This window comes from Homo sapiens, chromosome 7 (genome assembly GCF_000001405.40).
Source record: "Homo sapiens chromosome 7, GRCh38.p14 Primary Assembly".
NCBI lineage: Eukaryota > Metazoa > Chordata > Mammalia > Primates > Hominidae > Homo > Homo sapiens.
Window position 1 is genome coordinate 139,056,344 of NC_000007.14, and position 19,036 is coordinate 139,075,379.

At 43.3% G+C, this 19,036-nt stretch overlaps 1 protein-coding gene across 3 annotated transcripts in view; it reads right to left on the bottom strand.

Moving 5' to 3' along the window:
• The window catches only part of ZC3HAV1 (zinc finger CCCH-type containing, antiviral 1), a 66,206-nt gene that overhangs the window by 12,829 nt on the left and 34,341 nt on the right, over window positions 1-19,036 (bottom strand). For 2 of the 3 annotated variants that reach the window (NM_020119.4, NM_001363491.2), the window contains exons 7-9: window positions 17,513-17,687; window positions 8,536-8,656; window positions 4,693-4,795 (exon numbers count right to left, since the gene is read on the bottom strand). In NM_020119.4, the coding sequence (NP_064504.2) occupies window positions 4,693-4,795; window positions 8,536-8,656; window positions 17,513-17,687 (399 nt within the window). Of the gene's footprint in view, window positions 1-3,996; window positions 4,796-8,535; window positions 8,657-17,512; window positions 17,688-19,036 lie in introns of those variants that run through there. The other variant, NM_024625.4, reaches the window with a different exon arrangement.

Consider the following 19,036-nt stretch of genomic DNA (forward strand, 5'->3'; position numbering starts at 1 on the left):
TCTATAGGTCAAATCACCTAGTCGTTGTTTTTATTGTTTTTTTTTTTTCCTTTTTCTTTTTCTTTTCTTTTCTTTTTTTTTTTTTTTGAGACAGTCTCACTCTGTTGCCCAGGCTGAGTACAATGGTGCAAAGACAGCTCAACCTCCTGGGCTCAAGTGATCCTCCCACCTCAACCTCTTGAGTAGCTGGGACCACAAGTGTGTACCACCACACCTGTCTAACTTTTTAAAAAGTTTTTGTAGAGATGGGGTCTCAACTCACCATGTTGCCCAGGCTGGTCTTAAACTCCTGGGCTCAAGCAATCCTTCTGCCTTGGCCTCCCAAAGTGCTAGGATTACAGGCATGAGCCACCACACCTGGCCTATCTGATTTCTTAAAAATGAAATTGCATGAAAAAAGTAGAGGAGGGGAAACTGTAGTAGACTAAAAGATATTTATGACACAAATCAACCAAACACAATGTACAGACCCTGCTTAGATACTGATTTGCAATACCTCAACTCTAAATAGTCATTGTTTAAGACAATGGGAAAACATAAAACGTGAACTGGGTATTAGATGATATTAAGGAATTATCATTAACTTTGTTACATAGGTTAATGATATTGTATTATGTTTTTTAAAACCTCTTACCTGTTAGGAAGACACCTAATATATATACAGGGAAATGATAACATGTATTGGATTTACATTAAAATATTCCAGCAAAAGAAAAAAAGTTAGGCCAGGTGTGGTGGCTCATCCCTATAATCCCAGCACTTTGGGAGGCCGAAGCAGGAGGATTGCTTGAGCTCTGGAGTTTAAGACCTGCCTGAGCAACACAGTGGGATCCCCCTCCCCATCTCTAGAAACATTTTTTTTAAATTATCCAGGTGTGGTGGTGCACGGCTGTAGTTGCAGCTACTCAGGAGGCTAAGGCAGGAGAATCACATGAATCCAGGTGTTTGAGGCTGCAGTGAGCCATGATCACACCACTGCACTCTAACCTGCATGCAGAGTGAGACTCTTTCTCAAAGAAAAAAAAAATTTAGAGGTGATGGTAGTAACAATATTGTTACCACTACTACAAATACGTTACAAAGATAGTAAAATATTGACAGTGTTTAAGTTGGATGATAGGTACTCAGGGGTTTATTATCAATTCTTTGTACTTTATGTTTGAAATTTTCCATGATCAAAACAATTACATTTTTTTTTTTTTTTTTTTTTTTTGAGACGGAGTCTCCCTCTGTTGCCCAGGCTGGAGTGCAGTGGCGCGATCTCGGCTCACTGCAAGCTCCGCCTCCCGGGTTCACGCCATTCTCCTGCCTCAGCCTCCCGAGTAGCTGGGACTACAGGCGCCCGCCACCACGCCCGGCTAATTTTTTTGTTATTTTTAGTAGAGATGGGGTTTCACCGTGTTAGCCAGGATGGTCTCGATCTCCTGACCTCGTGATCCGCCCACCTCAGCCTCCCACAGTGCTGGGATTACAGACGTGAGCCACCGCGCCCGGCCAACAATTACATTTTAAAAAATAAATGCTTGAAGGAAAAAACTCTTTAAAGAAGAAGGTGACTCATTAGAATGAGAAAGATTGGCCCCAGTTTATCTCTATTTTAAGGTCAGGTTTCCATTCTGGATTTGTATAACATGGGATAGACTGAATGAATATGTTGTAAGATGCCCATGAACAGTGACGTGTGCCGTAGTTCACTTCTATGTCCCACTGTAGTTCAGGATAGTACCCCAGCCCTTATTCTATCCTACAGCAAGTGTGTCTCCTTGGGCTAGTGAGAGCAGGATTAAATTTGGTTCTCTGCATGACCCACCCCCCACCCTCCCCCACTAACATGTTTTTCTAATTTATTTTTTTTATTCATGTGGCTGTTTATTATCACTATGTGCCATGCATTATACAAACTATTCCAAGACAGCCTGGGCAACCTGGAGAAACCGTGTCTCTATTAAAAAATAAAAAAATTAGTCAGGTGTAGCGGTGTGCACCCATAGTCCTAGTTACTTGGGTGACTGCAGTGGGAGGATCACCCGAGTCCGAGAGGTTGAGGCTGCAGTGAGCTGTGATTGCGCCACTGCACCCCAGCAACCTAACCCCCAACCCCCCCCCCCCCCACAAAAAAACACCAAAATATTTCAAGAGCTCTGAGGAGCTGATAATTGAGGTTGGTGGGGAGGGAGGGGGAAGGGAGGAGGAGGGAAGGTTGTGCTAGAGACATTTACATAAGTAACTGTATTACAAGGTAGAAGTGGGTAAGTACTATAAGGGAATCTCGAGTGTTGGAGAATTGGAGGAGAATCACAAGGAATGTTATAGTATGGGAAAGTGGCATTCCAGCTAAATCGTGAGGGGTGCTGTATTCATGTGAATGACGGGAAGGAGTATTCCTGGAGAGGGGAAGAGCAAATGGAAAAGCACGAAGCAACTCTGACATATGGAAGTTCTTGAGATCGACAATGGCTGACTACAGGAGCTATCTGGAAATGCCACAAAGCAATTTTTTCCCCTAGAAATACATGTGCACAGAAAGAACCATCCAGCTTGGCGTCAAGGTTTACTATGCTTTCCACAGTTCCTGCTGTCTGGAAGGGCCATAAAGCATGGTCTCACTAGTTGAGACTAACTGGGAGTATCTGAATTGTTAAAAAATCAAAATTACCGGAACTTTAAAAAAAAAAATGCAGTTTTGTTGCTTTAAGGAAAGACAGTTCCAACACACTTTTGTGAAGACATCCTGCCAGAACGATTGTAACGATTGTAACGAATGGAAAGCAGCTCTGATGATCTCATTCATTGGCTGAATGTGAACAGCCCCTCCCCATCCTCCTACTCTGCCTTTTTCCCCCACCTAACATTTGTCAGGAACTGAAATAGTTATTGCCTCATCCACCAGAATGTAAGCTCCCGTGAGGGCATGAGATTTACTCCTCTCTTCCCTAAACCCTGAAATATTCTTTTTACTTTATTAATTTGAATATTTAAACTACAGGAAGGGGCCAAGTGCAGTGGCTCATGCCTGTCATCCCAGCACTTTGGGAGGCTGAGGCAGGTGGATCACCTGAGGTCAAGAGTTCGAGACCAGCCTGGCCCTCACGGTGAAACCCTGTCTCTATTAAAAATACAAAAATTAGCTGAGCATAGTGCCATGTGCCTGTAGTCCCAGCTACTCAGGAGGCTGAGGCAGGAGAATCACTTCAACCAGGGAGGCAGAGGTTGCAGTGAGCCGAAATTGTGCCACTACACTCCAACCTGGGTGACAGAGTAAGACTCTGTCAAAAAAAAAAAAAAAATTTACTGAAAGGGACTTTAGATAGCTACACCAATCAGATTCTAATTCTTGGGAAATCAACTTGAGAAATTCAGAGAAAATTAGGCAGTTAGTGGCAGAAGATAAGGCTGAAGAGATATGCAGGTTGGAATTATGAATTAGAATTAAGTCAACTTAATTATATATATAGTTACTAAGTCTATTAATAGCAGGGGAATAAAAATAATAATAACCAGAGCAGTTAACATTTTCTGAACACCTGATCAGTGTTCGGAATGTGTTACCCAAGCAACCGTGAGGAAGGTATTATTATTAAGCCCATTTTACAGATGAGGATATACAGAGTGATTCATTTGTCCAAATCCACACAGCTAATGGGTGGCAAGGTGGAATTTGAACCTAGGTGAGCTAGATCCAGCATCCAGGCTGTTAACCTGGTCCCAAGAAAGAATCTTTGACTCTAGGCTGCTGCAGTTCTAAAGCAGAATAGGAAGCAACTCCCCTTCCTGAGGCCCTGATATAGCTCAGTTTCCATTCTTAGATTCTTGCGAGTTGTTTTCCATATGACTTCATAGTTATTTATCTTTTTAGTAACTTCCTTTTTCATCAAATAGCTTGAATTCTTACAACCAAAAGAACCTAGTTAGAACACCTTGATTTTATACTTCTCTTGAAGCCTGTTTTATGTAATCACACATCACCCAGAAAAAAAATATCCAACTCCAAAAATGTTCATGAACAATGTAGAGTTTACTGAGCAGTTCACAAGGAGAGTTACAATGAATCCCCCACAGCAACATTTCCTTTAAAATCCCTTCAATCAATATTATCTCTCACCAAAACCCTTGCTCTAACAGCTAGCTCATCCCTTTTTTCTATCTCTTTCTCCGCCCCTCATCCTCTATAAATCGTGTAGGAAAACAAAAGACACCCAAAAGAATCCACAGCAAAGCCAGGCACGGTGGCTCATGCCTGTAATCCCAGCACTTTGGGAGACTGAGGTAGGAGGATCACTTGAGCTCAGGAGTTCAAGACCAGCCTGGGCAACAAAGTGAGACCCCCTCTAAAAAAAAAAAAAAAAAAAAGAATCCACAGCAAAACAAAAACCCAGTATATATGATTATTCCTTAGGTGTACTGCATCAATCCAGCTCTTCACAGCTGGAGAAGCTAAAGCCCAGAGTATTTAGGAGACTCGCTCAGACTTCCCTTTCAGAAAGAAAATTCATTTTCCGATCTAGTATCCTTTCAGTCACACCATGCTGCTTAACAAGCATCTTACTCATCGATAATGCAAATGGAAACTGCAGAGTAATGCAAACAGGAACTTTTCAGGAAAACAGGCTCCAGATTCACGAGTGACTTGATGAGCCCAGGGCATGAACATCTCAAGCATCTGTCAGCAAACAGCTGCTTCAGAACACTTACTCTGGCCCTCTCTTCATCTGCTGCACATACCACTGAGGCACAAATGTTGGTCTTCTGATGACATCCTTTTGAGTTTTGGAAGCTATGTTTGTCTGAATCATCCCTTTGGACAGAAAAAAAAATAAAAGCAGTGAGAATCAAGATCAGCCCTAGAAAATGACTTCTTGTTATTTTGCAGAGGCTATTTACACGGCAAATATTCAAGACTGACCTGTATGTATACGAATAGAGAAAATCCTTTGGGATGAGAATTGCTCACAGTAAAAGACTTGTATCCTTCACTGCCATTAGTAGAAGGCTCAAAGCAAAGGAGTGAATGAATATTCAGGAATTAATCTCATCTTTAAATCCAAGTTGGATGGTAAAAGAGGAGAGCTGGGGCAGCCAAATAACAAGACACCATCCTTTCAAGCTTCCCTACACCAGACATCAGTGATTACGGGTTGGAATCTGGTAGCTGTCTTGAAGGGTTCTTTTCTACATCAAGTGTGAAATATCATTTTCAATTCATGCCGTAAACCTCAGTCCAAACTGTAACCAGAGTGAACCCTTCAGAAAGTAAGTCATAATACATTGCTAGTGAGAGTGTAAAATGAAACCACCACGTTGGAAAACAGTTTGGTGGTTTCTTATACAGTTAAATATGCACTCCTATGTGATTTAGCAATCCCATTTCTGGGTATTTACCCAAGAGAAATGAAAACCTGTATCCACACAAAGATGTGCACGTGAATGCTCACAGCAGCGTTATTATGATAACCAAAAAGGAGAAATAACCTAAGTGTCCATCAGCTGGTAAACAAATAAACTATGGAATAGCCTTACAATAACTTATTACTTATTCCTCAGTGATAAAAGAGGAACAACTACTATACATGCAACAACGCGGTTGAGTCTAAAAAACATTATTCCAGAGTGAAAGAAGTCAGCCACATGCAATGTGCCTACTGCAAGCGTTTATTAATATCAAATTCTAGAACAGGTAAAACAGGGACAGAAAGCAAATCAGCAATAGCCTGTGATGGGGATAAAGTGAGGTGTATGTGGTGTTGCTGGGGAAACTGATTGCAAAGAGACATAAGGAAACTTTCGGGATTGATGGAAATGTTCTATATCCTGCTTAGGGTGGTGGTTACACGCATTTGTCAATACTCATCCAACTGCACTCTTAAAATATGAAACAAACATAAACCACACACACACACACACACACACAAAGCAAATCAGATCATGCCACAACACTGCTCAAAATCTTCCCGGGACCTCCGCCTAATAAAATATCCAAGTTTCTATCACTGCTCTCATCTCTTACAGACCATCTACCTGTTCTGTGAAACTTCAAGCTGGTCTGTACCTTCCAGCCTTAGCCTTAGTTCTTCCTCCTCCTGGAGCGCCCTCCTTCCCACAGGCAGAGGCTGGTCTATAAAAGTAAGTGCTGTCCCACTGACTCCTCCATTTTCTGGCTGCTTCCTTGCACTGTTTCATTTTCTCCACCGTTTCATTTTCTCAGTAACTGTTACCACTTTCTGAAATGGCCTGACTTGTTTACTTGACCATTGTCTCTCACCACCCTTTTGAATACAGGCTCGAAGAGCAACTTCATCACTGTATCCCAGCACCCACAACAGGAGCCAGTACACAGCTGGCACTCAGATACTAGCTTAATGCATGACAGAATACACTTGCAGTCTAGTTCAGGAATAGAAAAAGGCGGACGGGTGCAGTGGCTCACGCCTGTAATCCCAACACTTTGGGAGGCTGAGGCAGGTGGATCACGAGGTCAGGAGTTTGAGACCATCCTGGCTAACACAGTGAAACCCCATCTCTACTAAAAATACAAAAAATTAACCAGGTGTGGTAGCACACACCTGTAGTCCCAGCTACTTGGGAGGCTGAGGCAAGATAATTGCTTGAACCTGGGAGGCAGAGGTTGCAGTGAGCCGAGATTGCGCCTTTGCACTCCAGCCTGGTGACAAAGCGAGACTCTGTCTCAAAAAAAAAAAAAAAAAAAAAAAAGAAAGAAAGAAAGAAAAAGAAAAGAAAAGAAAAAGCCATCTGGAACACTAGGAACCCATAAATTGCTCTGAACTGGTTTCTATGAACCAAACAAACAGAAGTAGCTGGACAAATTGCTCTAGATTCAGGAACAAAGTCTATTGGCTCTCATCTCTCCACCACCCTTTTAAACCATAAAAACAATACAATACCACCTAAGAATTTTTTTAATTTAAGTCATTTTTAATTCTACCACCCAATAGAAGAGATTTTAATTTTTCTTTATTATCTTCCAGTCGGCCCACATGCATGCATTGCTGCAATTATCATGCACATTGATTTTTGTGTTTTTTTTAACTTTCCTATTTTAAATATAAACAAAATTTCAGAAACATAAATTTGGGGTTCTGGCTGAGCACTATGGCTCATGCCTGTAATCGAAGCATTTTGGGAGGTTGAGGTGGGAGGATCGCTTGAGCTCAGGAGTTTAAAATCAGCCTGGGCAACAAAGTGAGATCCCCATCTGTACAAAAAAATTTTTAAATTAGCTGGGCATGGTGGCATGAACCTATACTCCCAGTTAGTTGGGAGGCTGAGGTGACAGGATCGCTTGAGCCAGGGAGGTTGAGGCTGCAGTGAGCCGTGATGGCATCACCGCACTCTAGCCTGAGTGATGGCGTGGGACCCTGTCTCAAAAAAAAAAAAAAAAAAAAAAAGTGTTCTGCCTTTTTCATTTAACAACACCAAATTTTGCTCTTCCTATCTAGTTTTCATAATCAAAATCTTTAACAAGTGCCAGATACGCCACTGAAATTTAATACCCTAATTTATTTAGTCACCACTGCACTGGTACAGACTGGTCCTACTTTTAGTACTATAGGTACTGGTTTTGGTCTAGTATTCTTCGGTCACACCATGCTGCTTAACAAGCACCTTACTTTATGCCTATAGCTTTTCTCCCCCCTTCTTCTAGTGAATTATTTCCTAAGAAAGGTTCCTAAGGGAATGAAAAGACAAACATATTAGCATATTTTAATGTCACTTGACATGTACTGCCAGACTGTTTTTCCAAATACTTGGTATAATGGTCCTTGTAAAAGCTACGTCATCTAAGGCCCACTAAGCGGTACAGGATCCAACTGCAGGTACCATCTGCGAATTCAGGGACCTCAGAAAGGCTCCTTTACCTCTTCCAAAGCACCTGCAAGTCCCGAAAGGGCAAGCACTTGATCATGTGCAGGGGGTGCCCAATGGGATGGTACCTTCAGAAGGAGGGCAGTTCCTGCCCTGATATCTAACTAAACACAGCAGGTAGATTGGCGGCAGCTCACCAGAAGACCTTTCTATAGTAGCTCCAATAAACACGGTGGAAGGCAAAGTACTTTAATCAATGTGATGATGGAACTACTGACCTAGATGATAAACCCTAAAAGAAACAGCAAGTTTCTAAAACTCTGAAGGTGCCCAAAAGCCCAAGGCCTCTACCGTAGTCACCAGCACCTGAAATATTGCCTCTCCCTGGGCAGCTGCCCACCCAGAATCAGAAACAGCATGGCAGAGCTGGAAGTACCCCCAAGACTACTTAGTTTGAGCCCCTGATTTTGCAGTTGAGAGAAGTGGGCCTAGATAGGCCAGGTGCCCCTCCTAGGGTGGCAGAGCAAGTGTTCGTCACAGCCAGAGCTCTAGAACACAGGTCTTCTGATGGCCACTAGCTTGCACTCCACCGCCTTGCTAAATCTTGACCTTGACCCTGGCCATAGCAATGCATACCCACTCTGCTCCCACTCCCACGTGTACACTGCAGGCGGATTTCAATGACACACAACACTGCCAAACACAGAAACCCACCTTGGAAACTCAGCTCATAGTTCCGTGAGCCCGCCTGAAATGGCACAACTCCCCTCGGACAGGATTGATAGAGAGACTCCAGGTATGAAGAGTCGACGTTTGAATTTTTCCGTTTGTCTTTCTAATTGGAAAAAAAATAAAAGGTAAAGTCAGGGTAGGCTTTTAGGAAATCTCTACTGTTATATGATTTCGTTTTAGCAATGAGATGTGAACAGGAGTGCATTTTGCTTCCCAAACCAGATTGTAAAAGCTTCCAGCTCAGGGCTATGTCACAGACTTCTGTGGTCTTCTCTATCATGGTACCCTAGAGAGAGAAGTCTATCCTGCAGAAACTCACTACACACTTGGGGGAGGCCTGAGAAGTGTAGCTGTTTGCAATACTCTTTTACAGCCTTCCATAAAATATGAGCCAAATATACAGAGCAACTTGCATCCCCTCTTTTCTGATGCCACGCCGGCATCTGTCATCTAACAGAATCTGACACTGACTCTTACATGAAATAGAACATCGTGGGCTATTCTAGCCACGCACGGTTTACAGTAGTCGTGAAGGGAAGTAAAGAAAGACCATCTGGTCCTCGTCCAAACTCCAATAGTTGCAGTGTTCAAATATAAATAACCTAACCCTCTCCTCTGCCCTGAACCAGAGTAAGTAAACAAAATTGGCCGAGCCTCCTGCTAGCCAACTAACTGAAAATGCACTTGGATTTGCCACTAACTGGAGCTATAATGAAAGGGATGAGGTGGCCGGGTGCAGTGGCTCACACCTGTAATCCTAGCACTTTGGGAGGCTGAGGCAGGTGGATCACGAGGTCAAGAGATCGAGACCATCCTGGCCAACATGGTGAAACCCTGTCTCTACTAAAAATTCAAAAATTAGCTGGACGTGGTGGCATGCACCTGTAGTCCCAGCTACTCGGGAGGCTGAGACAGGAGAATCGCTTAAACTCGGGGGGCGGAGGTTGCAGTGAGCCAAGATCGTGCCACTGCAGAGCCTGGCGACAGAGCAAGACTCTGTCAAAAAAAGAAAGAAAAGGAAAGAAGGGATAAGGCATAACCCCCAAATGTAAAGCTATAATCTCTAGTCTCAAAGCATATAGAAAGCATGCAAACATCAGAATGTGTAGGTAAAAGGGAAATGAGTTGATTTTAGCAAGGGGCAGGCTAGGCTACCGATCCACTGCCCTCATTCCTCATTCCGTGGCCAGGGTGGGCGATCAGGGCACACTAGAAGTACGCCCCTAGCAGCAGGGGTTCCCAGTATTTAATGGTGAGGAGACTCTTGTTTCCTGTGATCTAGAACAAAGGAGTTAATGGCAACAAATTTTTCCAAGCAGCCGTGGTGGAGAGGGGCTCACGGTTCCTTTTGCTAATGACATTCCAGACTTTCAGCTGGACCGACGCCCCTTCCTCTTCCCTAGTGGAAATGCCTGCTGGTTGTAAGCGGAGGGCAACAGAATGTACGTGTCCAAGGAAAACGTCCTGCACAGAGAAAGGCCCGAGCTGGGTCTCTTTATCCTGGAGTGCAGCATGGTGGGAGCAGAAAGCAGTGTTCAAATATTTGTACCCAGGGCAAAGTGGGAATAAACTTGAATGTGTTTCAGGAGGTAGGACCAGTACAAAGGGTGGAAGGGACAAGGACGCTGACTTTAGCAGAACGTTCTAACTTACTGCAGCCAACAATTAAGTCATATCATGAAGATGCTTGTTGCCACAGCTTTGTGGATAGTATCTATCAGAGTGATTGTAAAAGAGCTTGCTGCCGTGATTCAATGGTGCCCGGTAAACCCTATGCCTTCCTCGGGCCAAAGTGGGCAAAACACCTCTGGCATGATGTGGGGCGGGTAGAACAGCTCTAGCACCTTGGTATCCCCTGGTTTGACCACTAGCTGAATCGCTTCCCAATTTCCCATCCCTACAGTTGAAGTCCTGTATGCATCCACTGCCTGCTCAGCTCTGTAAAACCCACTCTGTTCCTGGCTTAAAAGGCCGGAGACTTTCAAACATTGACATACATGTGAGTGCCCCAGAGATCATATTAAAGTGCAGATATGATTCTGGGAAAGTTGGGGATGATTTAGATTCCATACTTCAGCCAGCTCCCGGGTGATGCTGAGGCTGATGCTGCTGGTCTGTGGACCTCACTTTGACTAGCAAGCCTCTAGGGTCTAGACCAGTGCTGTTCACTAGAACATTCTGTGGTGATGAAAATGTTCTCTGCGCTGTCCTATATGATATGTAGGGGAGGCAAAATTTCTTTCTTTCTTTCTTTCTTTCTTTTTTTTTCAGGGTGTCCCTTTCCCTCTGTTGCCCAGGCTGGAATGCAGTGGCACAATCTGGGCTCACTGCAACCTCCGCCTCCTGGGTTCAAGCGAATTCTCCCGCCTCAGCCTCCTGAGTAGCTGGGATTACAGGTGCATGTCACCACACCCCAGCTAATTTTTGTATTTTTAGTAGAGACAGGGTTTCACTGTATTGATCAGGCTGGTTTCGAACTCCTGACCTCAGGTGATCCGCCTGCCTTGGCCTCCCAAAGTGCTGGGATTGCAGGCATGAGCTACTGCACCTGGCCAGGGAAGCAAAATTTCACCTCTACCCTTTTACAGTATTTTGGCTGGACCTGAGCATTAAATTGACATAAGACCACAACAGGAATGACAGACAATGGAGACTCAGAAGGATAGGGCAGGTTGGGAGGGGAGTAGATGATGAAAAATTACTTAATGGGTACAATGTACATTATTCAGGTGACGGACACCCTAAAAACCCTGACTTTACTACTAGGTAATCTATGCATGTAACAAATGTAACAAAATTACATTCGTACTCTATAAATTTATATACAAAAAGACCAACAGGAGAAAAGCATACACGTTCATTTAATACAAGTTTTACGTGGCACAGGAGCCTTCACGAGAAAGTGAAGACCTAAAGCTGCAGTTAGAGATAAACACTTGTATTGAATTAGACGAGTCATAAATTATGAAAATGGGATGAGGCAAAGGGGCTTCAGCTAGGGAAGTTAATTGGGTGGAGAAGTGTCCAGAAGGATGAAGATTTGTCTAATAGGGTTTGTTTGCACAGGTTTCCTGGCTTTGATAAGAATGCTACTTTCATTCTGGTATAGGGAGGACCTCTTTCTTTCTTTATTATTATTATTATTATTATTATTATTATTATTATTATTATTATTTTGAGACTCAGTGAGTCTCTCTCTGTCACCCAGGCTGGAGTGCAATGGTGTGATATCAGCTCACTGCAACCCCCACCTCCTGGGTTCAAGCGATTCTCCTGCCTCAGCCTCCCGAATAGCTGGGATTACAGGCATGAGCCACCACACCCGGCTGATTCTTGTATTTTTAGTAGAGACGGGGTTTCACCATGTTGTCCAGGCTGGTCTCCAATTTCTGACCTCAAGTGATCTGCCCGCCTCAGCCTCCCAAAGTGCTGGGATTACAGGCATGAGCCACTGTGCCCAGCCTAGGAAGAACATCTTCCACATGAGAATTTCATCTCCTGCTTTTAAGTAACAGAAGGTCAGAGTGATCGTCTTGCACCTGCTGTTTTTCAAGTGCGTTTAACTCAAAATAGTCAATATGCCAGAGTGGCATATTTTTAACTCCTTCAGTAGCCAAGCTATGTGTGGCTATACAGCACTGAAAATGTGACTACAGTGACCATGGAACTGATTTCTTAATTTTTTATGTGTTTAATTAAAGTTTAAAATGAAATTGCCGCATGTGGCAAGTGGTTGTCATACTGGACAGCACAGGGCCACTAAGTCAGTGTCTGAGTACCTGCACAGCCTAGCATGGCTCCACACCGACCTTCTCTAGCCTCGCCCTCACACTGCACTTGTCATGTTCATGAACCCCGGTAGGTGGTGAAGTCCTCAAAGGTAACATTTCCCCTTGGTTCAGTCCACATCAGAGACGAGTCTCAGGCACTGCTTGATGTGATGTGTAGGCTGGTTCATTCAACCCTCGCTGTTGTAAGACTAACAGGACAGCGGGAGCATGCCCATGTCATGCGTATGTTATGGTCAAGAGGTCACACAACTGACTGATGGTCCAGAAGCAACTCTCAAAGTCCCTCTCTTGTTCCTGTGTGTTGTCTGGGTCAATTACCAGGTGTTTCTATTGTAAAGGTATTCTAAGCTACTCTTGTAAGGATAAGTCCTTTTTGTGGTATCTGAAAGTCAGTCATATCTGTGCTGAGCTGGCCCCAGTTCTTTGGCAATCCTAAGCTACAGTTGCCCCATACTCTTAAGTGACAGGTAGTGACAGCCTTGCAAGATGTCTCATTAGACCTTTTAGCTACCATTAGTTTAATAGCCATAATGTGTCCTAGAGAACAGTACTGTTACTCCAGGTCTGAGTAAATGAATGAATCACACAGCCGTCAATTATTTATTCCCCACAAGACTTGAATTTATGTTTCAGTTGCAGTAAACAGGTCTTAGCTTTTATCCTGTGTGTCAATGATTGCCTCAACCTTGGCTTTCTAGAGCTGTGGCTTGTCCTTGTTCTGAGAGGGTCTCTCAGGCCATAGCCTCCCGCTGTTTCTCAACACCAGCTTCCACAGCTGCTAAGCTTAGCTACTTTGCTGGTAAACATCTTCGAGGACCTGAATCTGCACTCCCTAACTGGTGCACATTCAACGACTCCCAGGCTCTACCCTCCTGTCAGCCCTGCTATCACTCTACCCTACACCATTGCTGCCCAACTGCCCATCGATTCAATCATCACTTCTCCTAATACCACACCCTCTCCCTGCCCACCATCTATGTAGGTATGAGTCCTGGTTAAGTACATCAATTTCCATAAAAGGATATCTATTTTACCTCCCTGAGAGCTCATAATCAAAGCATATGTGCCTACTCTGTTGGCAGAAGTTTCTACTCCTCACGTTCCTCTTAGGGAGGTTCCAACCCACAACTCTTAGTTGCCTGACTTATTCAAAATTCAGTTACAAGAAATAAAAGCTGTGGGGCACTGGCAGAAGGCTTCACAGTCCACTCCTTTCTCTAAATATTCTAGCCTGTACGCTGGCTCAAGGCAGGTCACCAAAGAGCTGCAAACTTGGACCACAATGCATTGATCCATGAAAGAAACCAGGCTGTTCTTGATATGTGGGGTTCAAATCTCCTGGAAACATTATTTTAATTTTACTTGGACTCCCAGCAAGGAAAACATTAAACCCAGGGCCTGATTTTTCCTTATTTTTTTTTTTAATAACTAGAGCCAATTCAATTTATATAATGATGGGTCTTATTAGTATGAGACAGTAAGAGTTCATTCACATCTTCAGTGAACATCCAACAAACCTGTGTCACATTTAATGAATACAACATTCATGTGTTTGCAGATTGAATGTTACATTCTAAAAACTCCACAGTTTTCATGGGAATCCAGAATATAAAAATAAAAATAAATAAAATAAAAACTCTACAGCTAACACAGACTAAATGTCCCAGCGAGAACTTTGTATTAAAAACCTCAGGAGGCCGGGCGCAGTGGCTCACATCTGTAATCCCAGCACTTTGGGAGGCTGAGGCGGGCAGATCACGAGGTCAGGAGATCGAGACCATCCTGGCTAACATGGTGAAACCCCGTCTCTACTAAAAATATAAAAAATTAGCTGGGCGCGGTGGCGGGCGCCTGTAGTCCCAGCTATTTGGGAGGCTGAGGCAGGAGAATGGCGTGAACACGGGAGGCGGGGCTTGCAGTAAGCCGAGATCGCGCCACTGCACTCCAGCCTGGGCGACAGAGCGAGACTCCGTCTCAAAAAAAAAAAAAAAAAAAACCTCAGGAAGGGCTGGGTTGGGTGCGGTGGCTTACACCTGTAATCCCAGCACTTTGGGAGGCAGAGGCAGGCAGATCACCTGAGGTCAGGAGTTCAAGACCAGCCTGGCCAACATGGTGAAACCCCGTCTCAACTAAAAATACAAAAAATTAGCCAGGCATGGTGGTGGATGCCTGTAATCCCAGCTACTGGGGAAGCTGAGGCAGGAGAATTGCTTGAACCTGGGAGGCAGAGGCTGCAGTGAGCCGAGATCACAACATTGCACTCTAGCCTGGGTAACAAGAGCAAAACTCTGTCTCAAAAAAAAAAAAGCTCAGGAAGTTTCTTGATGTTTTATTAGAGAACATGATTGAACTTGTGTAAATTTAAATTTAAATACAGTATCTTTCCCCCAAATAGTTCCTTTTGGTTTCTGAAACCTTTTTTTTTTTTTTTTGGAGTCTTACTCTGTCACCCAGGCTGGAGCGTAGTGGCACAGTCTCGGGTCACTGCAACCCCTACCTCCTTGGTTCAAGCAATTTTCCTGCCTCAGCCTCCCAAGTGGCTGGAATTACAGGTGCACGCCACCAAGCCCAGCTAATTTTCTGTGTGTATTTTTAATAGAGACACAGTTTCACCATGTTGGCCAGGCTGGTTTTGAACTCCTGACCTCAGGTGATCCACACGCCTTGGCCTCCCAAAGTGCTGGGATTACTGACATGAGCCACCACGCCCGGCCTCCTGGAACCTTGATGTAACTAGAATGCAAATGTTTGTTTGCCAACCCTTCCCCTTTATATCTTACTAAAAATTCCAATTATTTGACATAAAAACCATCAAGACCTATAGCTTATTTTTATTTTAACCAAGGCTAATTAATTTGGGTTTATAATTTTATTTCCACAGGCGCCTGACAGAATCGCTTATTTGACATCATCCTTGGCTTGAGCATACAAAGAATCTGTGCAAAGTTTAATATCATAGGTGTTTTCACACACACGGGAGTTTCAGCAGAACTCTGTTCCACAGAGATGCTACATGGGCCACCACAGGAGAGAGAAGAGCAACAAGGAGGGGTCCAGGAGACAGCTCTGAGCCCATATCCTATTCCACCAGGGCAGCCCTGCTCTACTCTAGTTGGCTCGTTTAGAGTCTTTGAAAGATGGTTTGATAAAATGTATCTGCTGCTAAGACAGTTTGGAAACCAATATGCTGCTGAATTCATGGTAGGGCTGTTTGTGGTTGAGGACCTCACCACAGCACACAGGGTTCCCGCCATGTGGCCCACTATAGGAGGTGTTTTTCTCAGGCCTCACTAACATAACAGAGTAGTGCCTCTCCCAAGTATTTTGTTTGCTTTGGCAGTTAGGCAGCTCAGAGCCAAATGTATAGCCCACTGACTCGTAATTATTAGTTCCGTGCAAAAGTAATCAGTTTTTGCCATTAAAAGTAATTACCACCAACCCAAAAGTAATTTTACACCAACCTAAATATGTAGAACCTTACGCTGCCATTCCTTTGTCCCTGCATTATCTTTTTTTTTTTGGAATCTCACTTTTGTCACCCAGACTGGAGTGCAGTGGTGCAATCTCGGCTCACTGCAACCTCTGCCTGCAGGTTCAAGCGATTCTCCTGCCTCAGACTCCTGAGTAGCTGGGATTACAAGCACGCGCCACCACACCCAGCTAATTTTTTGTATTTTTAGTAGAGACAGGGTTTCACCATGTTGGCCGGGCTGGTCTCGAACTCCTGACTTCAGGTGATCCACCCCACCTCGGCCTCCCAAAGTGCTGGGATTACAGGAGTGAGCCACCGCACCCAGCCCATGCATTATTTTTGGCTTCATTTTAATCTCTTGCTTTCATTTTCTGTTTCTCATCACCCTGATTCCATTACCTGCTTAAGGTCTGTTTTCTCTCTCTCTTTAATCCTATGAGTTAAAGGGAGGAAGGGACACTGAGACAGAAGGACAGAGGCTCTGCTCACCTAAACTTCCCTCCCTATTACTATGCCCCCACTATGGGTCAGCCTAGGATCTTCTAGTTCCAGTCCTTTAAGTCCATCTAAATCCAGACTCTGAATGAATAGTAGTGACTATCTGTACCAGATGTGGTTTCACTGCTTGAGTGAATTAACACATTCCCTGGTCTAATTAACCATGCCATCATCCATACAGTCCTTTAAGTTCTCACTCTCACCCTCTTTTCCAGCTCAAAGCAGTAGTCTCTGTACATTTTATGTGTTTATACATAGAAAGCTATCTCAAGGTTCCACCCTCCCCTCTCATGGTGAGGAAAGAGGGAAGTGCAGCTGACATGTCTCAAGCGGTTCCTTAAAAATAATTAATATATGGCCGGGCGCAGTGGCTCACGTCTGTAATCTCAACACTTTGGGAGGCCGAGGTGGGCGGATAACCTGAGGTCAGGAGTTCACGACTAGCCTGTCCAACATGTTGAAACCCCATGTCTACTAAAAATACAAAAATTAGCTGGGTGTGGTGGTGGTGCATGCCTGTAATCCCAGCTACTCGGGAGGCTGAGGCAGGAAGATCGCTTGAACCCAGGAGATGGAGGTTGCAGTGAGCCAAGATAACGCCATTGCACTCCAGCATGGGTGATAAGAGTGAAACTCCATCTCAAAAATAAATAAATAAATAAAAATAAAAATTAATATATACTTTAATGTATGACTGCAATTGGAGTACATGTTTGCTGAAAAAAAATTGAATATAGCTGTGTACAAAGTAAAAAAATACCACTTCCTCTACCACACTCCACGGGTAACCATGTAGGCTTCAAACATTTTATTAATAGTGTTCTTTTTATTTTATTTATTTATTTATTTTGGAGACAGAGTCTCAATCCATCCCCCAGGCTGGAATGCAGTGGCGAAATCTCAGCTCACTACAACCTCCACCTCCCGGGTTCAAGAGATTCTCCTGCCTCAGCCTCCAGAGTAGCGGGGATTATAGGCGCCTGCCACCACGCCTGGCTAATTTTTGTATTTTTAATAGAGATGGGGTTTCACCATGTTGGCCAGGCTGGTCTCGAACTCCTGATCTCAGGTGATCCACCTGCCTCAGCCTCCCAAAGTGCTGGGCTTACAGGCATGAGCCACCGTGCCCAGCCAACAGTGTTCTTTTTAAGTTGACAAGTTTAAACAAGAGCCCCCTACAAGGAGGAACAGTGCTCACCTCTTCTCCATACTGAATCCATGTGCCAGATTCATTCTTCCAATACCAAATCCATTTGGTGGTGAAGACAGAATTGGCTGGCTTGGTGACAGAAGAAGGAGTGGAGAGGCGTCGGATGGGAAAGGAATCACAACTCATTACCCGAAAATTGATTGTATAACTTCCTACAGAACAGCTGAGAGAGAAAAGTATTAAGTTAACATAATGCTTCATTGACCCCTGTTTTCTACAATCTCGTCTTCCCTAATGAGAGCACAGAATTAAACTTTCAGGGCTAAAATAGATCTTCAAGTTTTCTTTCCATGGCTCCAGGTCCTACACATAAAAGAAAAACGGAAACGCAGAGAGGAAAGTGACTCGCCTGCACCACATAATTAATGGTGTTACATAATGTATTCTTCCCTCAGAAAATATCCCAAAATAAAACTGTGCCCACAAAACTCCTGATTGGCTCAATGTTATAAAGTAAGTTAGAAATTCGCATTTGGTCCATTTTTAAAATTATTTATTATTATTTAAATCGTTATCAAAATGTGGAGACCCTTGCAGAAAATTGGCAAGGTTAAAGTGATTTTCATAATAACATTAAACATTATTTGCTTTTTTCACTTTCATTCTCTCAGGAATACACGATGAAATTTTCCAGAGGCTACACAATATATGATTTCACAGCAGGTTGAATAAAGAAGCGGATATGAGAATCTAGTTATCTTCTATTATGCCAGACATTAATTTGCAAAAATATAAAACTCCTCTCAATAAATTTTTTGTTTTGGAAAACAGTTATTTTATAATTATCCATATAAATATTATATATAAATATGTAAATAAATACACACAGTTATATACCTGGGTATGTATATTAAATGGATATACATGAATATGTATATAGTATTAAATATAGTTACATGAAACATGTTCATTATGTTAACATATAGCAAGCTTATTCTTATTTTTAAGTGAATCAAATATATAATTGTTCTCAGTTTTAATTTTTAATATGGTAAATATTGATAGCTATATTCCACACAAACAGAAATTCTTTGGGATCCTGAATACATTTTAAGTGTTGAGGAGTCCTCTGACCAAAAAGTTTGAGAATTGCTGCTCTAAGAAAGACCTCTTAGATCAGTGGTTCTCAATCAGGAACGATTTTGACCTCAGTGGGTATTTTACAACATCTGAAGACATTTTGGGTTAGGACAACCAGTGGGGCTGGTGGGGGGGTGGTGCTTCCTGTCATCTGTGGATTGAGGCTAGGAATAGTGCTAAACAGAATCTGGCCCAAAACGTCAGTAGTGCTGAGGTTGAGAAACCCGGCTCTCCACTTGCCTGGGAGCGGAAATATAGACCTAGCAACCAGAAAGTAGCTCATGTCGCCCTCTAGTGGTAAAAATCCAGCAACACAGAATCTCCACCCTCAAATCACTAAATTCTCATATGATGAAAAGTAATGTAACTTTTCCCCCTTAAGAATTTCCTTATAAAACTGGGATGTTTCTTATATCCCTGCACACCATAGAT